The following is an 18,607-nucleotide window of genomic DNA, read 5'->3' as shown; positions in this document are numbered from 1 at the left end:
CCAAAGGGGTTTTTGAAGGCCAGGAATGCTTTAGATTCTTTGTCCTCCTGAATTGCTGAATTGTCCCTCTAAATCAGCCTTTAGGAGCCAATTGATTTGTCCAAGCCATCTTGAATAAACAAGACTCTGAGGCAAGGCCAATGTTTGGGAATGGGACCTGTGTGGTATTGCAGGGCACTGCTCTCAGAAGTGTTCTGAGCTGGTTTAACCTTCTGTTGTCTCTGTCTTAAAACTTCTTTTTTAAACGTAGTGTCTCATTTTGTTTGCTCAAGGCCCCCAAAATATGAAATTGCCCTAATCTGAAGCGTAAAATTATGATGTTTAAATATAATTTGTAGGATCACGAAGTCCCAGGGCTCTCCAGCTTAAGTTTTCTTCTGTAAATTCCTTGCCTGTAGCCATGTAACTGCTGGCTCATTTTTTCCCTCCCTCCCTCCCTCTCGCTCTCTTTCTTAAAAAAAAATATATATTTTATTACACTTATTATATATTATATTATATATATAATATATATATATTTACTTTCCAACTTTTAAGTTCAAGGGGTACATGTGCAGGTTTGTTACATGAGTAAATTGCATATCATAGCGTTTTGGTGTACAGATAATTTTGTCATCCAGATAACCAGCATAATACCCAAGAGTATTTTTTCAAGAGCAGTTTTTCAATGCTCATTTTTAAGGATGGGTAGCTCACTGTCTTCTTAGCGATTTCTTTCCTTTCTGGACCTACCTCACTGATAGAAAGTTCTGTCTTACCTCAATATGAAATATTTATCTTTCATTTAATCTATGTTCATTCTGTGTTTTATATAACAAATTCAGCAAATTATGTGTGACAAACAAATATATATTTCTGTTTTTATTCTAAAAGACATACACATCATGGCAATGTTGGAAAATATTGAAAACCATAAAATATAATTACTGCTAATTTCTCGATTGAGAAATAAGCATTTTTAACCTGTTGACATATTTCTTTTTTATCTTTTTGTATGCATAGCTAGTAACAATAACACTGATAAGGGTAGTAGCTGATTTACTTAGTGTTTTTAATGTGCTAGGGATTGCGTTAACTGCTTTAAAAGAATTACTGCACTCATTAGACAGACAAATATAATTAGAGAGAAATGGGTTTATTTTGCATAAATGTAAAGATTTTAATGTATATGTAGTTCTTTGCTTTTGTTCCACTGAATATCATATTGTCAGCACTTTTCAAAATTAAGAAATTATTTTAAATTTGTTTTTATTTTATTTTTTATAATTTCAACTTTTATTTTAGATTCAAGGGGTACATGTGCAGGTTGTTACGAGGGTGTATTGTGTGATGCATCTCCTGATCTCGTGATCTGCCCGCCTCGGCCTCCCAAAGTACTGGGATTACAGGCCTGAGCCACTGCACCCGGCCCATATTTTCTTTATTCAATCCACCATGGATGGGCACATAGGTTGATTCCATAGCTTTCCTATTGTGAATCATGTTGCAATAAACATGTGAGTGCCTGTGTCTTTTCGGTAAAATGATTTCTTTTCTTTTGGCTATATGCCCAGTAATGGGATTTCTGGATCAATTGATAGTTCTGTCTGAAGTTCTTTGAGACATCTTCAAACTGTTTCCACAGTGGCTGAGCTAATTTACATTCCCACCAAAAGCGTGTGTTTCCTTTTCTCCGTAGCCTTGCCAGCATGGATTGTTTTTTTTTTTTTGACTTTTTAATAATAATTATTCTGACTGGTGTGAGATGGTTTTGATTTGCATTTCTCTGATGGTTCGTGATGTTGAGCATTTTTTCATATGTTTGTTGGCCACACGTGTGTCTTCTTTTGAAAAGGGTCTGTTCTGTCTTTTGCCCACTTTTTAATGGAGTTATTTGTTTTTTTCTCATTGAATTGTTTACATTCCTTATAGATTGTAGATATTAGACCTTTGTTAGATGCATAGTTTGCAAATATTTTTTCTCGTTCTGTAGGTTGCCTGTTTATTCTGTTGATAGTTTCATTTGCTGTGCATAAACTCTTTAGTTTGATTAGGTCCCATCTATCAATTTTCGTTTTTGTTGCAGTTGCATCAGAAATAAGAAAATTAAAAAAAAACCCATAATTACTCTATGGACAGAAAATGATGACGGGTCATTTCATTCCTTTTGCAGAGTGCCAAGATGTGTGACCTTGGGAAAGTCACTTTCTTCTTAAAATTATAGTTTCTTCTTTTGTAAAATATGTATCTAGTACTTCCCCTTCATTTGCAGTTTCACTTCCTGTAGTCTGAAAATATTAGATGGAAATTTTCAGAAGTAAACAACTCTTAGGTTTTAAATTGCACATCATTCTGAGTATTGTTATAAATGCTCTATTTTATTATTAGAGTTATTGCTGTTAATCTCTTACTGTGAATAATTTATAAAGTAGACTTTATTATAGATGTGTATATAGAGAAAAAACAGTATATATAAAGTTTGGTACTGTCATGGCTTTAGGCATCCACTGGGGGTCTTGGGAGGTATCCCCCACAGATAAGTGGGGCCAACTGTAATCTAATATCTGCCTTGTCTACCTTTCAGGATTATGAGGGTGAACAACAAAAATAAAAACAACAACCATCGATTGCTACCATTGAAACCTTTTTCTGTGTTAGACTTTCACACACATTGTTATCACTTACTATGATTATTTTACCAATCCAATAAAGCAGGTGAAATACTGCTTTCTGTAAGAGAAAATTGAGGCTTGAAGGTGTATGTGGCTTGCTGAAGGACATCGAGGAGGAGCTGGTCAGTTGGGTGATAAGCTCAGAGCCCATGCCTGATGGAATTCTGGATATAGGAGAGCTGCCTCCCTTCAAAGGGCATGTATTTGCAGCAAACGTTTGCTCCATTCATTTCCTAGGATGAACTTTCAAAAGTTTTACTCCTTTGGACGACCTCTTCTTTTTCATGTTGTTTGGTTCTGGAATATATGTTACCTGTTGCCAGAACTCTGGGGCTGCATTTAAGCAGCATCCATAGAGAGATGTACACCTTAAATGGACTGGTAATCATTCAGGATTTGTAACTTTTAAAAGGCTGAAAAAGGGAGTAAATACATTTATCCTTCTGCCTCTTATTTATCTCTCACCACAACCTCAATATTCTTGATATCTTCCTCAAAATCCATCATGAAACACAACTTGAGTGTCTATTCATAGCCTCTTTGAGGCTGTGATGGATACAGAGTTTACTCCTAAACCTTCCCCTCTGATTTTACTTTTAAAAGTGCAGTGATCACTTTTCTCTTGAAAAACGAAACCTTCATTCAATACCTTTTACTTAGTCAAGTCAGTGCCATGGCCTTGGTGTCCGAAGTTCTCTTGGAGAATATTGTACTTTCTCATTTTCTCGGCTGGGTCTAGCCTTACTTTGGGCAAGAAAATAAAATAAAATAAAATAAAAATAAAATGTAAGAAGTCATATAGACCAGTTCTGAGCAGAAGCTTTAAGAACCATTGCATGATCCTTTTGTGCCTTTATTCATTCTACCCATAGAACATCAATTCCCAGGTAAGGGATGCTCCTTCAGCCTTTGTTCTGGAAGGAAGAAAATGAGGATCAGAGGACAGTCCACTGTGATGGGCATATAACATGGGTCAGAAATAAACCTTTATTGCTCTAACCCACTGAGATGTTTGGGGGCTTATTTGTTATAGTCGCATGGTTTCTACAATGCTGACTGATACAGTGGGTTATGCCTATGGCTTTCCTTTTATTCAATCAGAAATGAACAATCATTTGTTATTACTTCAACTCTTCAAATATGTGTGACTGTGCACTGCAGAATGCTCTATGCTATAGCAATGGTTCTTAACCTTGGCTATCCATTAGAAAAATCTAAGAAAGTTCTGTCTGTTTTGTTTAATGTGAATCCTCTGGCTCCATTCAGGACCAAATGAGTTGGAATTTCAGGGTGTAAGTCCCCAAGCATTGGCATCTTAAAAAGCTCTGTAGGAGTTTGTATAATGAAGACAGGAGTGAGAACTATTTCTCTAGAGGGAAAGAAGTCTGGATTCTTCAGAGATAAAGGCAGTCAGTGAAATAAACCATACACTTGGCAGAAAAGCAGTAGATCAGAAAAATTCCAGGAAAAAGGAAAAATAATGATGTGACTGACACAAATGAAGAAAGAAAAAGTGAGTGCCTGTCCCTAGGCCAGTTTTGCAGCAAGAAGAAGACAGTCTGAGAGCCACTGAGGCATCTGGCGTGGAGTAAGGAAGGTAATGGATTTTATGCCAGTGGGGAATAGAATCTCTCAGAAATTAATTGTAACCTATGTTTCAAGGAGTTCCATAACATCAAGAAAGACCAAAATAATTTCTCCTTTTTACGTGTTCAACCATCATCACACAGCCAGAATCTACTCATAGGAAATTAGAAGTGCAAGGAAAAAAATAGGGTTTCCAACTTCATATATTAGCTGTTATTTTAGTATTGTATTATATCAAAGATTAACCATATAATTTTGGATAAAAGTGAAGTTGCAAATTTCCAGAAGTGTTAGGAAAAGGGAGAACAAAATATTATAAGTAACAATATTCTATGGATATTGCTATGTTTGGAAGTAGGTGTACAAATCCACTAACACTGGCATTACCAGTTCATTGAGAACAAAACACAAGGTTACACATTGTGACATATACAGTGGCTATAAAATTCAACGTGTCTCTACAAGATCAGTCAAGTCGGGGAGATAAGATAGCCTCAGAAGATCAAAGTGTATAGCCTTTTACTCTTGAGTAAATTATACCTATCCACTCATCCATCCATCCATCCATCTTTCCTACATTTATTGAGCATTCAGTATTCATTCATTTAATTCTTTCAGTCAACACTTATTGAGAGCATACATATGTCAGGCACCAATGCCAGGTTAAAAAAATTCCCAATATATGCTTATCTCATAAGATATAGTGAAAACCAAATAAGATAATGTAGATAGAAAGGCTACATGTATACATTTTTTTCCTTGAGATGGAGTCTCACTCTGTCACCCAGGCTGGAGTGCAATGGCATGCAATCTTGGCTCACTGCAGCCTCTGTCTCCTGGGTTCAAGCAATTCTCCTGCCTCAGCCCCCCAAGTAGTTGGGATTACAGGTGCACTAACCACACCCAGCTAATTTTTTGTATTTTTAGTAGAGACAGGGCTTCACCATGTTGGCCAGGCTGTCCTTGAACTCGTGACCTCAGGTGATCTGCCAGCGTTGGACTCCCAAAGTGCTGGGGTTACAGGCATGAGCCACCATGCCCAGCCTTATATGTATACTTTGACAAGCTATTTAGACATAAAGGATTATTATCATCCAATCTCTAGTATCACTGCTCTGTCATCCAGTGTTCTGATATTTTTCAATCTGTTGACAGGCACAAATATTTCCCAGGACTCCATAGGCCAGCAATTTAAAAACTGGAAACATTCATAAATATACAAGTTGACTAATTAGTCCTTAATTAGTTAGCAGATTGCATATTTTAATCACCCTAAGATATATTGGTTAATGTCATGAAATGAAAATAAAAGTTTGGCTGCATTATATTAGGTCAAAATTTACATAAAGACTTGATTAAAATATTTAATGGCACCTGCCAATCTGAGGCATGGTTAGCCAGACAGTCAGTGGCATTTTTGAGATCTTGCTGCTCTTTGGCAGTTTGGGCATCAAATTAACAGGTTATCTCTTAATTCAATCAAGGAAAACTGGAATATTTTAAACATCTATAATATTGCAAGATCTTTACTGAGCACTCTGTAAAGAAATGTAAGCATTATCAGCCTGTGTTGCATTTGAAGAAACTGAATTTTCTATGCATTCGAATAGCATAGAAAGGTGAAGAAACTAGCCTGAGATCATTCAGATGAAACATAGGTCGACAGTGGTTATGCATGGCCAGAAGACAAATCTTATCCTAGTTGATTTGTTATGAATTATCCATAGAACTTCTGCCTGAGGGTCCTGACTTACAAGGTGACTGAACCCCCATGTTGATCATTTCCTTGTTTCAGAAGCTGGTCCTTGAGTTTTCCCATTTGGAAATTCGGCTTATTTGTAACATGCATCCCATGCTAATGAAATCAATTGAGAACAATGCAAACACCAAGATGTCCATTTATTAATTTAAAATGAGAAAGAAAAAAATGTCTTGACAGCATAAGATTTTTGAGTCCTCTGGTGAACATGTTTCTTGCTGAAACCACAGGCAAATAAATCTGAGGATTCCTTAATGTATGTACCTTAACGAACATACATTGAATAAACTCTCTTTAAAATGGAGTGATACCTGTTAAGGGGGGTTAAATTATACTTAACCTTCTAATCAAAAGGCACTTTGTTTCAGACAGAGCTGAAGACTCTCAATTACTGCTATTGGTGCTTTGTGACCTTGTATTTACACTGAGCTGATTCAGTTGGCAAGGAAAGTCAAGATAGGACAATCCTAAATTACTTCTGGCATCTCACACCTTACAAAGTCTGCCTGCCTCTAGGCTGTTGCTTTTCAACCTCCAATTTAGTTATATTTTGTTTGCTATTAGTCACTGAACTGATCTTGGATCTCTCAGCTCTTCCCTTGGTTCTCTCTAGGACTATGTATCTGATGTACAATTTTAGTTAATAATTTTTCTGACCTTGATTTCAGCCCCAAGAACCCAACTTTCCTAAAATGGTCCAACTAAGTGGGAGTACCCCTGATTCCACCTTGTTGGAAGAGGTAAATGTTCATTGTCTTCTCTCTCCCAAGCTTCCTCTCACACAAAATCCATTTTTATTTCAGTATTTTTTTCTCAGATACATTCACATCTCTGATTTTCTTGCACTTAAGACTTTTTTCTTTTAGTTTTTCTTGCAGTTAAGAGGACGTGTGAGTAGATTGCCAGGGTCTTGTTCCTTCTGCATTTTCCCGAAGAAATGGTTCAGTTGAACATAGGCTTCTGAAGATATCTGATCTCATTCACTACATGTTGATTTTACTTGGTTATATCTCAGAGTTTAGAGATGCTCTATTTTTTCCTTTATGCCACTTAATAAAAGAATAGTACCTTTGGGGGATATTCCTTTATAATTTATAAATTATTTTCATGCTCATTCTCTCATCTCTGAATAGCCCCTGAAAAGGAGACTACTGTGGAGTAAATACCTCATTTCAGTGATTTTTTTGGATTTTCCTCTTACATCTGTGCTTTTGTGACTTGGCTGGAAATATCAGAGCAACTGACAGAGGCCACATAGTGCCTCTAGACAAGGAGACTGAGAAAAGACAAAAGAAACATTAAAAAACAAAATTAACAATAAAAACAAAAGCAGACTTTACAGAAGGAAGAAAGCTGGGCAAATGGCCAGGCTCTGCACATGTTGCATCAGCTTCAGAAAGAAATCCTCTTGGCCAAAGCACGTGGAGTCAGAATCTTTGCCAATGGGCTGCACAAATGAGGATTTAGATGTACAAATGGCATTGCCCAGTGAGCTACTGGCACGTTCCTGTGCTTTCCATGCTCCTGTAAATTCTTCTCGAAAGGTGAATTGTTTTTAACAATCAAAGCCTGGCTTTGATGGTAGCTGCCATGAGGCAGGCCTTAGCCCCGGGGTCTGCACATGGACCCTCCTGCTTGCTCTGATCACTCACACCCCGCACCTCAGTCCCCATCCAGCAACTGCTGTGTCCTCCCCTTCCCGTGGCTTCTTTTTCTTTAAGTGGGATTTCTCCCAGTTTGGGCCCCTGCTCAGCTGCCTCAGTTGGCAATAGCTATTGGGAATGGGTGTTCAGAGCCTCCAGCTGCCTCCCCAAGGCAGCCAGTACTCCACCCTTCTCAAAAGCTCTGCATGTCTGGCTTGTCTTTCTGCTTTGTGTCTCTCTTTTCTCTTATTCACAAATATACTACTTAAAAATAAAATTTAACGAACAAAGAACCTCCCTGCTCATACCATGTTCTTGCTCATACCTATGCAGAGTCTTTCCATTATCTTTGATGCCAGGCCTAGCATCCCAGGTGCGGAAGTTTGGGCCTCTCATGATGCAGCAATGAGTGCCCACAGGACGTGGCCTGAGCATTTCTCTTGGCAAATGTCATTGCTTGCTGTGTGTGGTGCTACGGGGGTGTGAGTCTTCTGACTTTCAGCCTCTTGAGGGCTGGGTCCACATCTGCATGTCTGACTGAATCTGATACTTCTCACAGCACAAGGCAGAGCTCCTGATTCAGGGTATATGTTCTGTGAATATTTGCTGCATGCAAAAAAGAATGAATGAGTTATCTGAGTAACATTGTGCATCCGAGCAAAGCAGGAGCTGTGATATTGAACAAAAGACTTGAATGACTGCTTTTTTCTTATGCATTCTTTTATTTGGAAAATATTTTTAAGCAGAAAATCATGAAGAATAATAAAAACAAAGTATCTTGCACCCATTATCTAAAACTGAATTGGTAATGGTTTTTCTTCATATCTGCTTTAGATCTTTAATAAATGAAATAAATGTGACTGTATGTCCTACATCCCATTCCTGTTGTCTTCCATGTCTCCTCAGAGGTAAGTACTATTAACTCTATATAGAGGTATACAGTATATATAGTCTTCTCTGTATATATTTTATCTTTTCTTATACTTTTATGTACAAATACGTGTATCAACCAGTACGTAGCAGGAATCAGCAGATTATGGCCTGTGAGACAAATCCAATTCATGACTTGCTTTTGTAAGGATTCCAAGCTAAGAATGGTTGTCACACTTTAAAGAGCTGTAAAACAAACAAACACAAATAATATACTACAGAGTCTGTATGTGGCCTACTAAACCTATAATATTTACTCTTTGTCCTTTATAGAAAAGTTTGCCAAATCTGATATATAATATTAGCTTTGTTTTAAGCTATAAAAATGTATCATATCCTGTAATCATTCCAAAATTTGTTTCAATTTTCAGCCCTACATTTCTTGAATTCTGTCCTTATGGATATATACATTCTGCTTTAGTTCTTTTAATGGCTGCATAATATTCCACCATATTGATATAACATATTTTAAATTCATTCCCCCATGTAATTGACAGTTATATTGTTTCTGTCTTTTTCACTATGAAAAAAATTGCAAGAAATAATCTGGTACCTTGTGGACTTGAGAATTTTTTAAAGAATACATTCTTGGAAATGGAGTTACCAGTTTATAGAGGTTGTACATTCTCAATGTTGCTGGACAGAACCAAACTATTCTTGGCAGGAGTTGTAAATGTTTCAACAATGTCTTAGTCTGTTTTGTGCTATTGTAACAGAAACCGAAGACTGGGTAGTTTACAATGAACAGCAATTTATTTCTCACAGTTCTGGAGGCTGGGTAGTCCAAGATTAAGAGGCCAGCATATGATAAGGGCCTTCTTGCTTTATCATCTCATAATGGAAGAGCAAAGAGAGAGTGGGAGATAGACAAAGTGGATCAAATTCATCTTTTTATAAGAAAACCATTCCCCCAATAATGAATCCACTCCCACAATAATGGCGTTAATTCATTCTTGAGAGCAGAGCCTTCATGACATAATCACCACTTAAAGTCCCCACTTCTCAACACCTTTGCACTGAGGGTCAAGTTTTAACACACGAGCCTGGAGGAACACATTCAAACAATAACCTTCCCTTTGAGATACATTCTTAATCTCGCCAGGCTTTAGCTCTCCCATTGACCCAGCTAATGGGAAGCCTAAGTCCTGTCCTAATGACCTTCAGTGCTCTATTTCCTCCATGTAACAGACAAAACATCACAAGTAAAATCTCTTTGAAGAGCTGCAAGTTGCAGGTAAAATAAGAGTGTTGTCGGTCTAAAGAGGTTACATGCAAGAATATCAAGAAAGGTTCTCTCTAGCCTGAGTAGAAATAACAGAGGCAGAAGACTCTCTGAGAGACTTTGTCAAGAGGATGCCGAACAGCATTCCACTTCAGAGCAACGTCTAGTGACAGGTGTTCTGCTCTGTGGCAATTTGGCCCACTGCACACTTTCCCCAGGTGCTGTCGGTGATTGCTGTGGTTGGGGACCACTTCCCTCTAGGTTCACAACTCTAGGGACAAAGACTGACAGAGCAGATCCCCAGTGAAGCCAGTTGTGATTGCACCAAAGAATCTGTTGAGCATTTATGGTGTAACTCATGCTGACCCATAGTCTGGAGCCAAGGCAGGAGAAAGGAAGTCATGATATAAAATCCTTGCTTCAAGTTGTTAGTGGTCTAACTATTGCCTGGCATGAGAACCAATAGGTCCTTAGCTCTGTGGGGATCTCCTTGATCCTTGTAACATAAGAGATCGTCACACGTGTTCTAAACACAAAGTGAAATAAACTCACAGGACTGGGTCCAAGCTGTAGGTCCTTTGGGTATATTTGTTGGTTGCTCTGGCCATTTTTTGTTACCTGGAAAATGAAAAGATTGGAGCAATTCATTTTCCTTATTAAAAAATATATTCCTCATTAACACATATATTCCTCATTATGTACTGACTTCTTCATTCCCTGCCACTACTGCATATTGAAGGTCTATCATCTCTCATATGGACTATTGCAATAGGCAGCTAATTGGTCTATCTGGCTCCAGTCTCTCCCTGGTCTACAGTGCCGCCAAAGGGATGTCTCTTGCATATGAAACTGAAACTTTCAGAATCCCATTGTCTCCACCTGAAGTCCAAACACTTAATGCAGAGAACATAGGTTTGATATCTATCTCTTGACTCTCTAGAATCAACTCAATCTCTTCTCCTCAGATTCCTGGGCTCTTTGTGGTTTCTGAAAGGTACCATGCTATTACTTCTTTCCTGCTTCTTCTGATACTCCCACTGTTAAGGAGCTTGAAATTAGATTAGGGACTGTCTCATACTCATTCTTATAAGCCGAGAACCTGGGAGACTAGTTGGTACCTACTGGATGCACAAAATATGTTTTTAAAATTAATGAATACATGAATGACTGAGTGTAGAGACTCATTTTCCTGGATAGGTTGGCTCTCCTTGGAGCTTAGATCAAGTGCATATTTGCTAAATGAAGCTTTTATTTGGATGGCAGCATCTTGGTGAGAAGCTAATCCAAGTCTGGTCAGTCTTCCCAAAGGAATCTTCAATTAGAAGGGGCTGGAAGGAGAAGTAGAGCTATGTGTGGAGCTGGAGGGGCAGCTACAATGCAGAAGAAGGGGTCAAATGGGAACTCCAGGGTCAAAATCTGCACTAATGTGTGGGGATCTGCAGTGATTTTTGTAACGTGACATTGCTTCCGGGGTAGGAAGGAGGAAGAACAAAGACAGGCTTCTTGGATATTATTCCTGAACCTCTGCCAAAAGTTGTTAAGGAAAATGAAATTCTGATCAGGAATTTCTTCCCGCATAGCAGGATTTCTTACCTTATATGATAAAAGTGGGTATCATGGGAGAAGAACTGGCCTAGAAATCAAGAGATGTGAGTGCTAAGCTCACATATCCTAGTGGCTGTCCATGTGATCATGCACCAGTCACCTCTTTCTCTGGACTTCCACTCAGTCATGCCTTAGTTAAAAGGGTGGAACTAGATTAGGATCTACAAGTCTGCGACATCCATGTCCTCATTCCCCTCTCCCTTGTCCTTGGGGTAGACATTATTAACTGGTGTGGGTCCTGTTCCACTGAGAATTCTTCCAGGAAGCCACTACCAATTGATCAGAGATGGCTTCTGAGATGATCCTATCCAAGATTCCTGATTGCTGTGGCACCCTGAAAATCTCATGAAAAATAAGAGTTGCCTTTGTGAGGAATAATTGCTCTGATTCTCTTTACCTCTGCTTTGCTAGGATGATGAACCCTCTCCAAAATGCCACTCAAGTCCCAGATTAGAGTGACAGAGCGGAGGTAGCTGGCAGCACCACTAGGGACCAGTGGAAGGTGTTTGCCACCAGCTGAAATGCCTGATCTGGGTCCAGCTGACATACAGCACCAATAGCTAATTTAGAAATTACTTCTACAGCTAGCAGCTGTTAATAAAAACAAATAACACAATATAACACAGAACCAAATCCAACCAACCAAACAAGTAAAGCCAAAACATCCAAAAAAGTAGAATGTAGTCTCTCCAAAAGAGATGCTTAGCTAAAAATTTGACATTTTAAGCCAATGTATGAGGGGAAAGGGCATCTTGTATATAACAGCTATTGTAAGTAGTAATAGGAAGTAACCTGGGTGCTCATTATAATTTTATTTCTCTTTGCTGTTCCTGCTGTTCAGTATGTGCCCCATCATTTACTCTGAGAATTGTTTATGCATCCTGAGGCTGCAGAGAGTAGAGGCAACGGAGAACAGGCCAATGTTTTAATTAAGACTCATCATTCCCAGGGCAGTAATACTTGTCAATAGAGCACTAGATGTTTTTCTGGCACTTTCACAAATAATTGACCCCCGCAACCACCTGGCAAAAAGTCAGAGTGAAGAGTATTTGTCTGTGTTAGAAAAAAATAGTTTTTCATTTATTTAGGAAAGTTGTTGGGGGCTTACTATATGCTGGGCTCTGGGAACGCCTATATGAGTGAGTCGAAAGCCCAATGATCACAGCCTAGTTGGGAGGCGAAGAATTGAAATTCAGTTGGTTCCCAGTGGTATGTATGACTGTGTTGGCCAACATCAGTTAAGGCTAGTTAGAATCCCTGCTACACCATTTATTAAGTCTTTCCAATATCCCATGTGCAGATAAGCCGCCAATAGTCACCTAACCACATAGTAATAACTGCCAAAAAGGTAAGGACAGTGCGAACTGAGAGCAGGATGCTCAACTCAGGGAAAGTTTCCAGAGGAAATGAGGCAGAGTAGGATTTTAGAGGATGGGAAGGGATTCATCAGTTTGTCAAGAAGGAAAGGACATTCTGAGAAAAGATAGTTTATGCAAAGACTGTATACAGGGTCTTACAGCACTCTTGAGGAACTGCATGCAGTTTATTGTGGCTATATAAAAAGGCACATTTAAAAATATATAAGTAATGGTCCTGAGGGCAGGGATCATGCCTCTTTTGTTGCATAGCCACCTCATACCATGCCTTGAGTATGGTCGCTATTGACTAAATCTTGAATGAATGGATGATTGAATGAAGTAAGTGATGGTAGGAGAAGCAGCCAGGAAAGATCAGGCATCAGGTTTTGAAGAGTTCCACTAGCCATTTTAAAGAATTTGCTTAATACTTCATCCTGCAGGTAACAGGAAGCATTTGAAAGTTATTAGTGGGCTGGTGAAACTGGAGGCAGTGAACAGTTAGGAAATGGTGCAAAAGATAATAAGTGGGCAGTGATAGTGGCATGATCTTCAGTACTAACCTCAACCTTAAGACCTTTGTTCCTGCCTTAGCTTAGTTTGAATTCACAGGCAGATCTGGCTGGTTTATGTCTCCATCCTCTACCCACTTAGTTTCCTCTAACTGAAATGCTTTCTCTGTTTTACCACTGTCATTAACGTGGTGAACTTCTTCCTCATCTCTCGTAACTGAACTCAAATTTCTTGTCCCCTTATAAGACATTTATGAACTGTCGCTTCATTTCCCAGCTCCAACTCTCCTGGTAGAACTGAGGATTTCCTTGAGTCTTAATGGTACCCAATACAGCTTTGTGCCCTGGCATCAATTCAAAGCTAGAGTTTATTTTTTTCTAGATTCTTCACTTCATGACAAGCCTTGGAAGTTAGGGGCAATGTCATATCCACGTTTGTTATCCATTTCATTACAAAGAACAGCGCTTGGCCATGGCAACTGCTTAGTAATGAGTCTGGCTATCTAATACTCTTTCTCTCTCTCTCTATCTACATCAACATCATCATCATTATCTATATTTGAACTAAAAGAAGAAAATTCATAAGTTGGTAACTGGGATATTTTCACTGGAGATTGCCTGTGAAAATCTCTCCAGCTGCTAATGGTGAGGCTAGAAAGTAGGGGATTGGTGCAATCTTAGTTAAATTTTATAATAAACTGAATAGACTTAGAAAAGTATACCTCTTCCTTATACTTTAATCTACATTATTAGCCTGTTTTATATGTGCCATCAAAAGAGGCTTCTTTTGGATCAACAGCACATCATGAAAAGAAGCTGCAAGCCTGCAGATAGTATAGAATGTCAGGAGAAACCCAGCATGGATTTTTATTACTTAGTTCAGAAGAAACTTGACTGGGTGATCCTGTGTCAGTTCAAAATTATTTCTTCATGCCACCTAGAAAGCAGTGAATCAAGAGGATTAAGAAAGGAGACTTCAACTTGAGCCTCTTTTATTTCATAGCCCTTCTCACACATCCATTCCTCTCCACATTTTGCCTTCCACTCCAAAGATTTGGTAGGGCATTTTTTTTTTTTTTTTTTTTTTTTTTGAGACGGAGTCTCGCTCTGTCGCCCAGGCCGGACTGCGGACTGCAGTGGCGCAATCTCGGCTCACTGCAAGCTCCGCTTCCCGGGTTCACGCCATTCTCCTGCCTCAGCCTCCCGAGTAGCTGGGACTACAGGCGCCCGCCACCGCGCCCGGCTAATTTTTTGTATTTTTAGTAGAGACGGGGTTTCACCTTGTTAGCCAGGATGGTCTCGATCTCCTGACCTCATGATCCACCCGCCTCGGCCTCCCAAAGTGCTGGGATTACAGGCGTGAGCCACCGCGCCCGGCCTGGTAGGGCATTTTTAAAGATTCTTCTCTTTTGAAAAAAGATGGAAATTCAAGGCATATGACGTGCCATTTCCCTTGGCATCATGTAAACAGCAGTAATTGATTATAGAAATCTTTCCTTTTTTTTTTTTTTCTGAGATGTAGTCTCACTCTGTCACCCAGGCTGGAGTGCAGTGGCATGATCTGGGCTCACTGCAAGCTCCACCTCCTGGGTTCACGCCATTCTCCTGCCTCAGCCTCCTGAGTAGCTGGGACTACAGGCGCCCGCCACCACACCCGGCTAAGTTTTTGTATTTTTAGTAGAGATGGGGTTTCACCATGTTAGCCAGGATGGTCTCAATCTCCTGACCTGATGATGCGCCCGACTAGGCCTCCCAAAGTGCTGGGATTACAGGCGTGAGCCACCACACCTGGCCTAATCTGATTAGAACCTAAAATCTTTTATAGCAACCATAATCAATCATAAGTTGCAAATCCAGGCATGGTAACACTCTGGGGAAGACAACACTCACACCACCCCACATACCACTCACATCACACACACCACACATACCACCTCACATACTACACACACTACTCACACCATATACACACACACACAAACACATGTACACAACACACACCAATACATTGCCAATGAGCAGTACACACATACCACACAGTAAACACACACTGGGTCCACCACCAATGAGCAGTAATATTTTAAAAGGAATCTTCTTTGTAAGTGGTAGATCTCAACAGTGGGCTTAAAGTATTCAGTAAACCATACTGTAAATACATGTGTTGCCATCCAAGCTTTGTTGATCCGTTTATAGAGCAAAGGCAGACTAAATTAAGATAATTCTTAATGGCTCTAGAATTTATGAAATGGTAAACAAGCATTGGCTTCAATTTAAAATCACCAGCTGCATTAGCCCCAAACAAGAGTCAGTCTGTTCTTTGAAGTTTTGAATCCAGGCATTCTCCTCTTCTCCTCTTTGGCTATGTGTATCCTAGGTGGCATCTTCTTCCAATAGAATACTGTGTTGTTTGTGTTGCAAATGTGTTGTTTAGTGTAGCCACCTTAATCAATGATCCTAGCTAGACCTTCTGGATAACTTGCTGCAGCTTCTACATCAGCACTTGTTGTTCCACTTTGCACTTTTGTGTTACAGAGATGTCTTCTTTCCTTAAAACCTAATGAACCAACCTCTGCCAGCTTCATACTTTTCTTCTGAAGCTTCCTCACCTCTCTCAGCCTTTATAGAATTGAAGAGCTAGGGCCTTGCTCTAGACTAGGCTTAAGGGAATGCTGTGGCTAGTTTGATCTTCTATCCAGACCAGTATAACTTTCTTCATATCAGTAGTAAGGCTCTTTCACTTTCTTATTATCTGTATGTTCACTGGAGTAGCAATTTAAATTTTCTTAAAATATTTGTCATTTGCATTCACAACTTGTTAACTGCTTGGTGGAAGAGGCCTGGTTTTCAGCTTATCTTGGCTTTCGACATGCCTTCCTTTCTAAGCTTAATCATTTCTAGCTTTTGATTTAAAGTGAAAGACTTGTGACTTCCTTTCACTTGAACACTTAGCAGCCATTGTAGGGTTATTAATTGGCCTAATTTAGGCTCATTCATTGAGCATAAGAAACATTTTCAGGACTCTGAGCTTTTGCTCTACGTATTCCTAGATTTGGAATACCCTCTCCCTTAGCTTGAAATTATTTTCATCCTTCAAGACCCAAATATGAATTTTCATGTGAAAATGTTACCATTTCCTCTGCTTTGCATATTCTACTTATTATGATATCACTTTATAGTTAGTTGCAGGTGTCTCTGTCGGCCTTCCTGGACTTGAAACTCCTTGTTGGCAGAGACCATGTTTCATTTAGCTCAATAAGTTCAGAGACCAGGTCAGGATTGGAATGTGTAAGTGCCTATTAAATGCTTGTGGAGGATAATGGCTTAGTGGCAACTGTCACAAAGTGTGAGCCTCCCTTCCGTTTTCCCCCAGAAAGGCACCAGCGGATTGTTCTTATTCTCTTGCCAGAATGGCAAACGCAAACACACGTTGAGAGGATATTCTAGAGAACAGCATGGAAACTGCTTTAGGGCTGTCACGCTGTCTTTTCTGAATGAGGTGGTTTCATGTGTAATTAAAGTGTCTTCTGTTGTTTCTTTGCAAACGTGATAAATATAGGTAATTTCACAAAACCAAGGCAGTAGAGACCATTTGACTTAAGAGCTGGGGAATCATCTACACATCTGCTACTGCTATTTTCCATTTGCTATCAGCCAGAGAAAAAGCCTTTGTCCTTTGAGATGGGCTAACCTTAACTGATGATATAAATTAAATTTATATCTCAATAAACTTTTTTACTTTAGAAAATTCTGAGAGACTTCACTTAAAAATTACAATATTCAGTCCCTGTCTAGGTGTTTTAGAGGATCCAGTAAAGGTGAAGCTATAAACCTTGCCTCACTGATCAGATAAGAAAATAATAATAATAAAAAAATTAATAAGAAAGAAAATATAATAAGTTATGAAGAGTGGTTCCTACAAAGCCTCTTCCCCTGATCCTACCTCAGAGAAGATGAAAAGCAGGAAATTGAACTATTTCCTCCAGAAAACAGAGCCAAGAGTTTGAAATCACGTCTTAAATTCAAGTTTTGGACAAACTACTTAATATCTGTATAATCCATAGCAACATGTTTAATTTTTCCCGTGTTATTTTGCTCACTGGAAACCTGTAACAGTAAGCATCCTTCAGAGAGTGGATACAAGGGTTAATGAGAAAATGTATGAAAGATGCCCAGAATGATGGAATGATGACTGACTTCTAGTAAGTGTGCAACAAAATTCAGTCCTTTTTTCTTACAGATTTTTGTGAAGTTTACAACATTTTGTAAAATATAAAGTGCTCTACAATATTAGTTATTTTTCATACATATTTGATGTACAGGATCAAGATCAACTACTTATATTTACTTAAAAAAACACCAAACAAATGAATGTGTCATTATGGAGTTTCTATTCAATGTAATATGAAGGAATACAGAATAGATCCCTGGAAATCTTTCCCTCATTTTTGCCCAGTTATAAAGCTGTTTGTTTTAGAACAATCAAGAATTACTGTCAACATTGAAACAGAAAGAGGAAGAAACTTCAAAATATTACCTTAATGTGCTAGGCATTTAATTAGTGTTGATTTGGTGCCTTAAACATGGCACTCATTAGGGGGATTGTACACACTAGTGAAGAGACAAATTGAAGCAAGTAACTATTTTGATGAGAAATTGCACATTACATTTTGAAGTACAAAATTTAATCCTAAGGTACCATAGGTGTAGAAACACGTTGGCAAATGAAAGAAGCAGGCGCCCACTTTAGATTCCATCATGTGCTATGACAGTGAGCTTTCACCTTACTTCATTTAATCTTCACAGCAATATTATGGGGCAGGTGTTAGTGTCTCTTTTGTAGAGCATTAGGGTAATGTGTTGGTTTTCTTTCATTCATGTGGTTAGTAAGAGACAAGATAAGATACAACCCCACAAGCTCTGACTTTTGGGGGCACTTAGATTGAGATCTCATTCAATCATGTTCCCATGCAATGAGGGGCTGTCTTCCTGCAGATAATCTGATCGTATGCCTGTCCAGGTAAAACTCAGAATGCAGAGCATGCCAGAGTCAAATGTTAGTAAAAAAGTGCTTCTACATCCAAACACTTCCTGATCATTACTTAATGATGAATACTCAGCTTTGGAATGTGAATCTCTGTTTAAGTCTATTCTCACTTGATTCTCATCTAAAACTCGGAAGCAGCAGAGTGTGTGTTGTGAGGGAAAGAGAGGAAAGTGGTGTACACAAGTGTGTGTTCATGCACCTGTGTGTGTGTTGGGGTGATGCTGGAGTTGTGTGTGTGTGTGTTTTGCAGGGCATGAGGTTGGGATTGGGAACTAGGAGTTGGCACGGGGATGTTTGGA

At 39.0% G+C, this 18,607-nt stretch overlaps 1 long non-coding RNA gene across 4 annotated transcripts in view, besides 1 other annotated feature; it reads left to right on the top strand.

The window, feature by feature from the left end:
* The window catches only part of CCDC26 (CCDC26 long non-coding RNA), a 328,546-nt gene that overhangs the window by 283,647 nt on the left and 26,292 nt on the right, over nt 1-18,607 (top strand). The gene's annotated exons all lie outside the window — the stretch shown is intronic.
* Nucleotides 16,134-16,213: an enhancer, noted in NCBI's record as "active region_27966". NCBI's record gives its function as "activates an Ori minimal core promoter by ATAC-STARR-seq in GM12878 lymphoblastoid cells {active_cell/tissue: GM12878}" and the evidence as "EXISTENCE:reporter gene assay evidence [ECO:0000049][PMID:35858748]".

This window comes from Homo sapiens, chromosome 8 (genome assembly GCF_000001405.40).
Source record: "Homo sapiens chromosome 8, GRCh38.p14 Primary Assembly".
In the NCBI taxonomy this organism is placed as follows: domain Eukaryota; kingdom Metazoa; phylum Chordata; class Mammalia; order Primates; family Hominidae; genus Homo; species Homo sapiens.
Note: the sequence above shows the minus strand (reverse complement) of the source record. Positions and strands in the feature narration are given on the sequence as shown.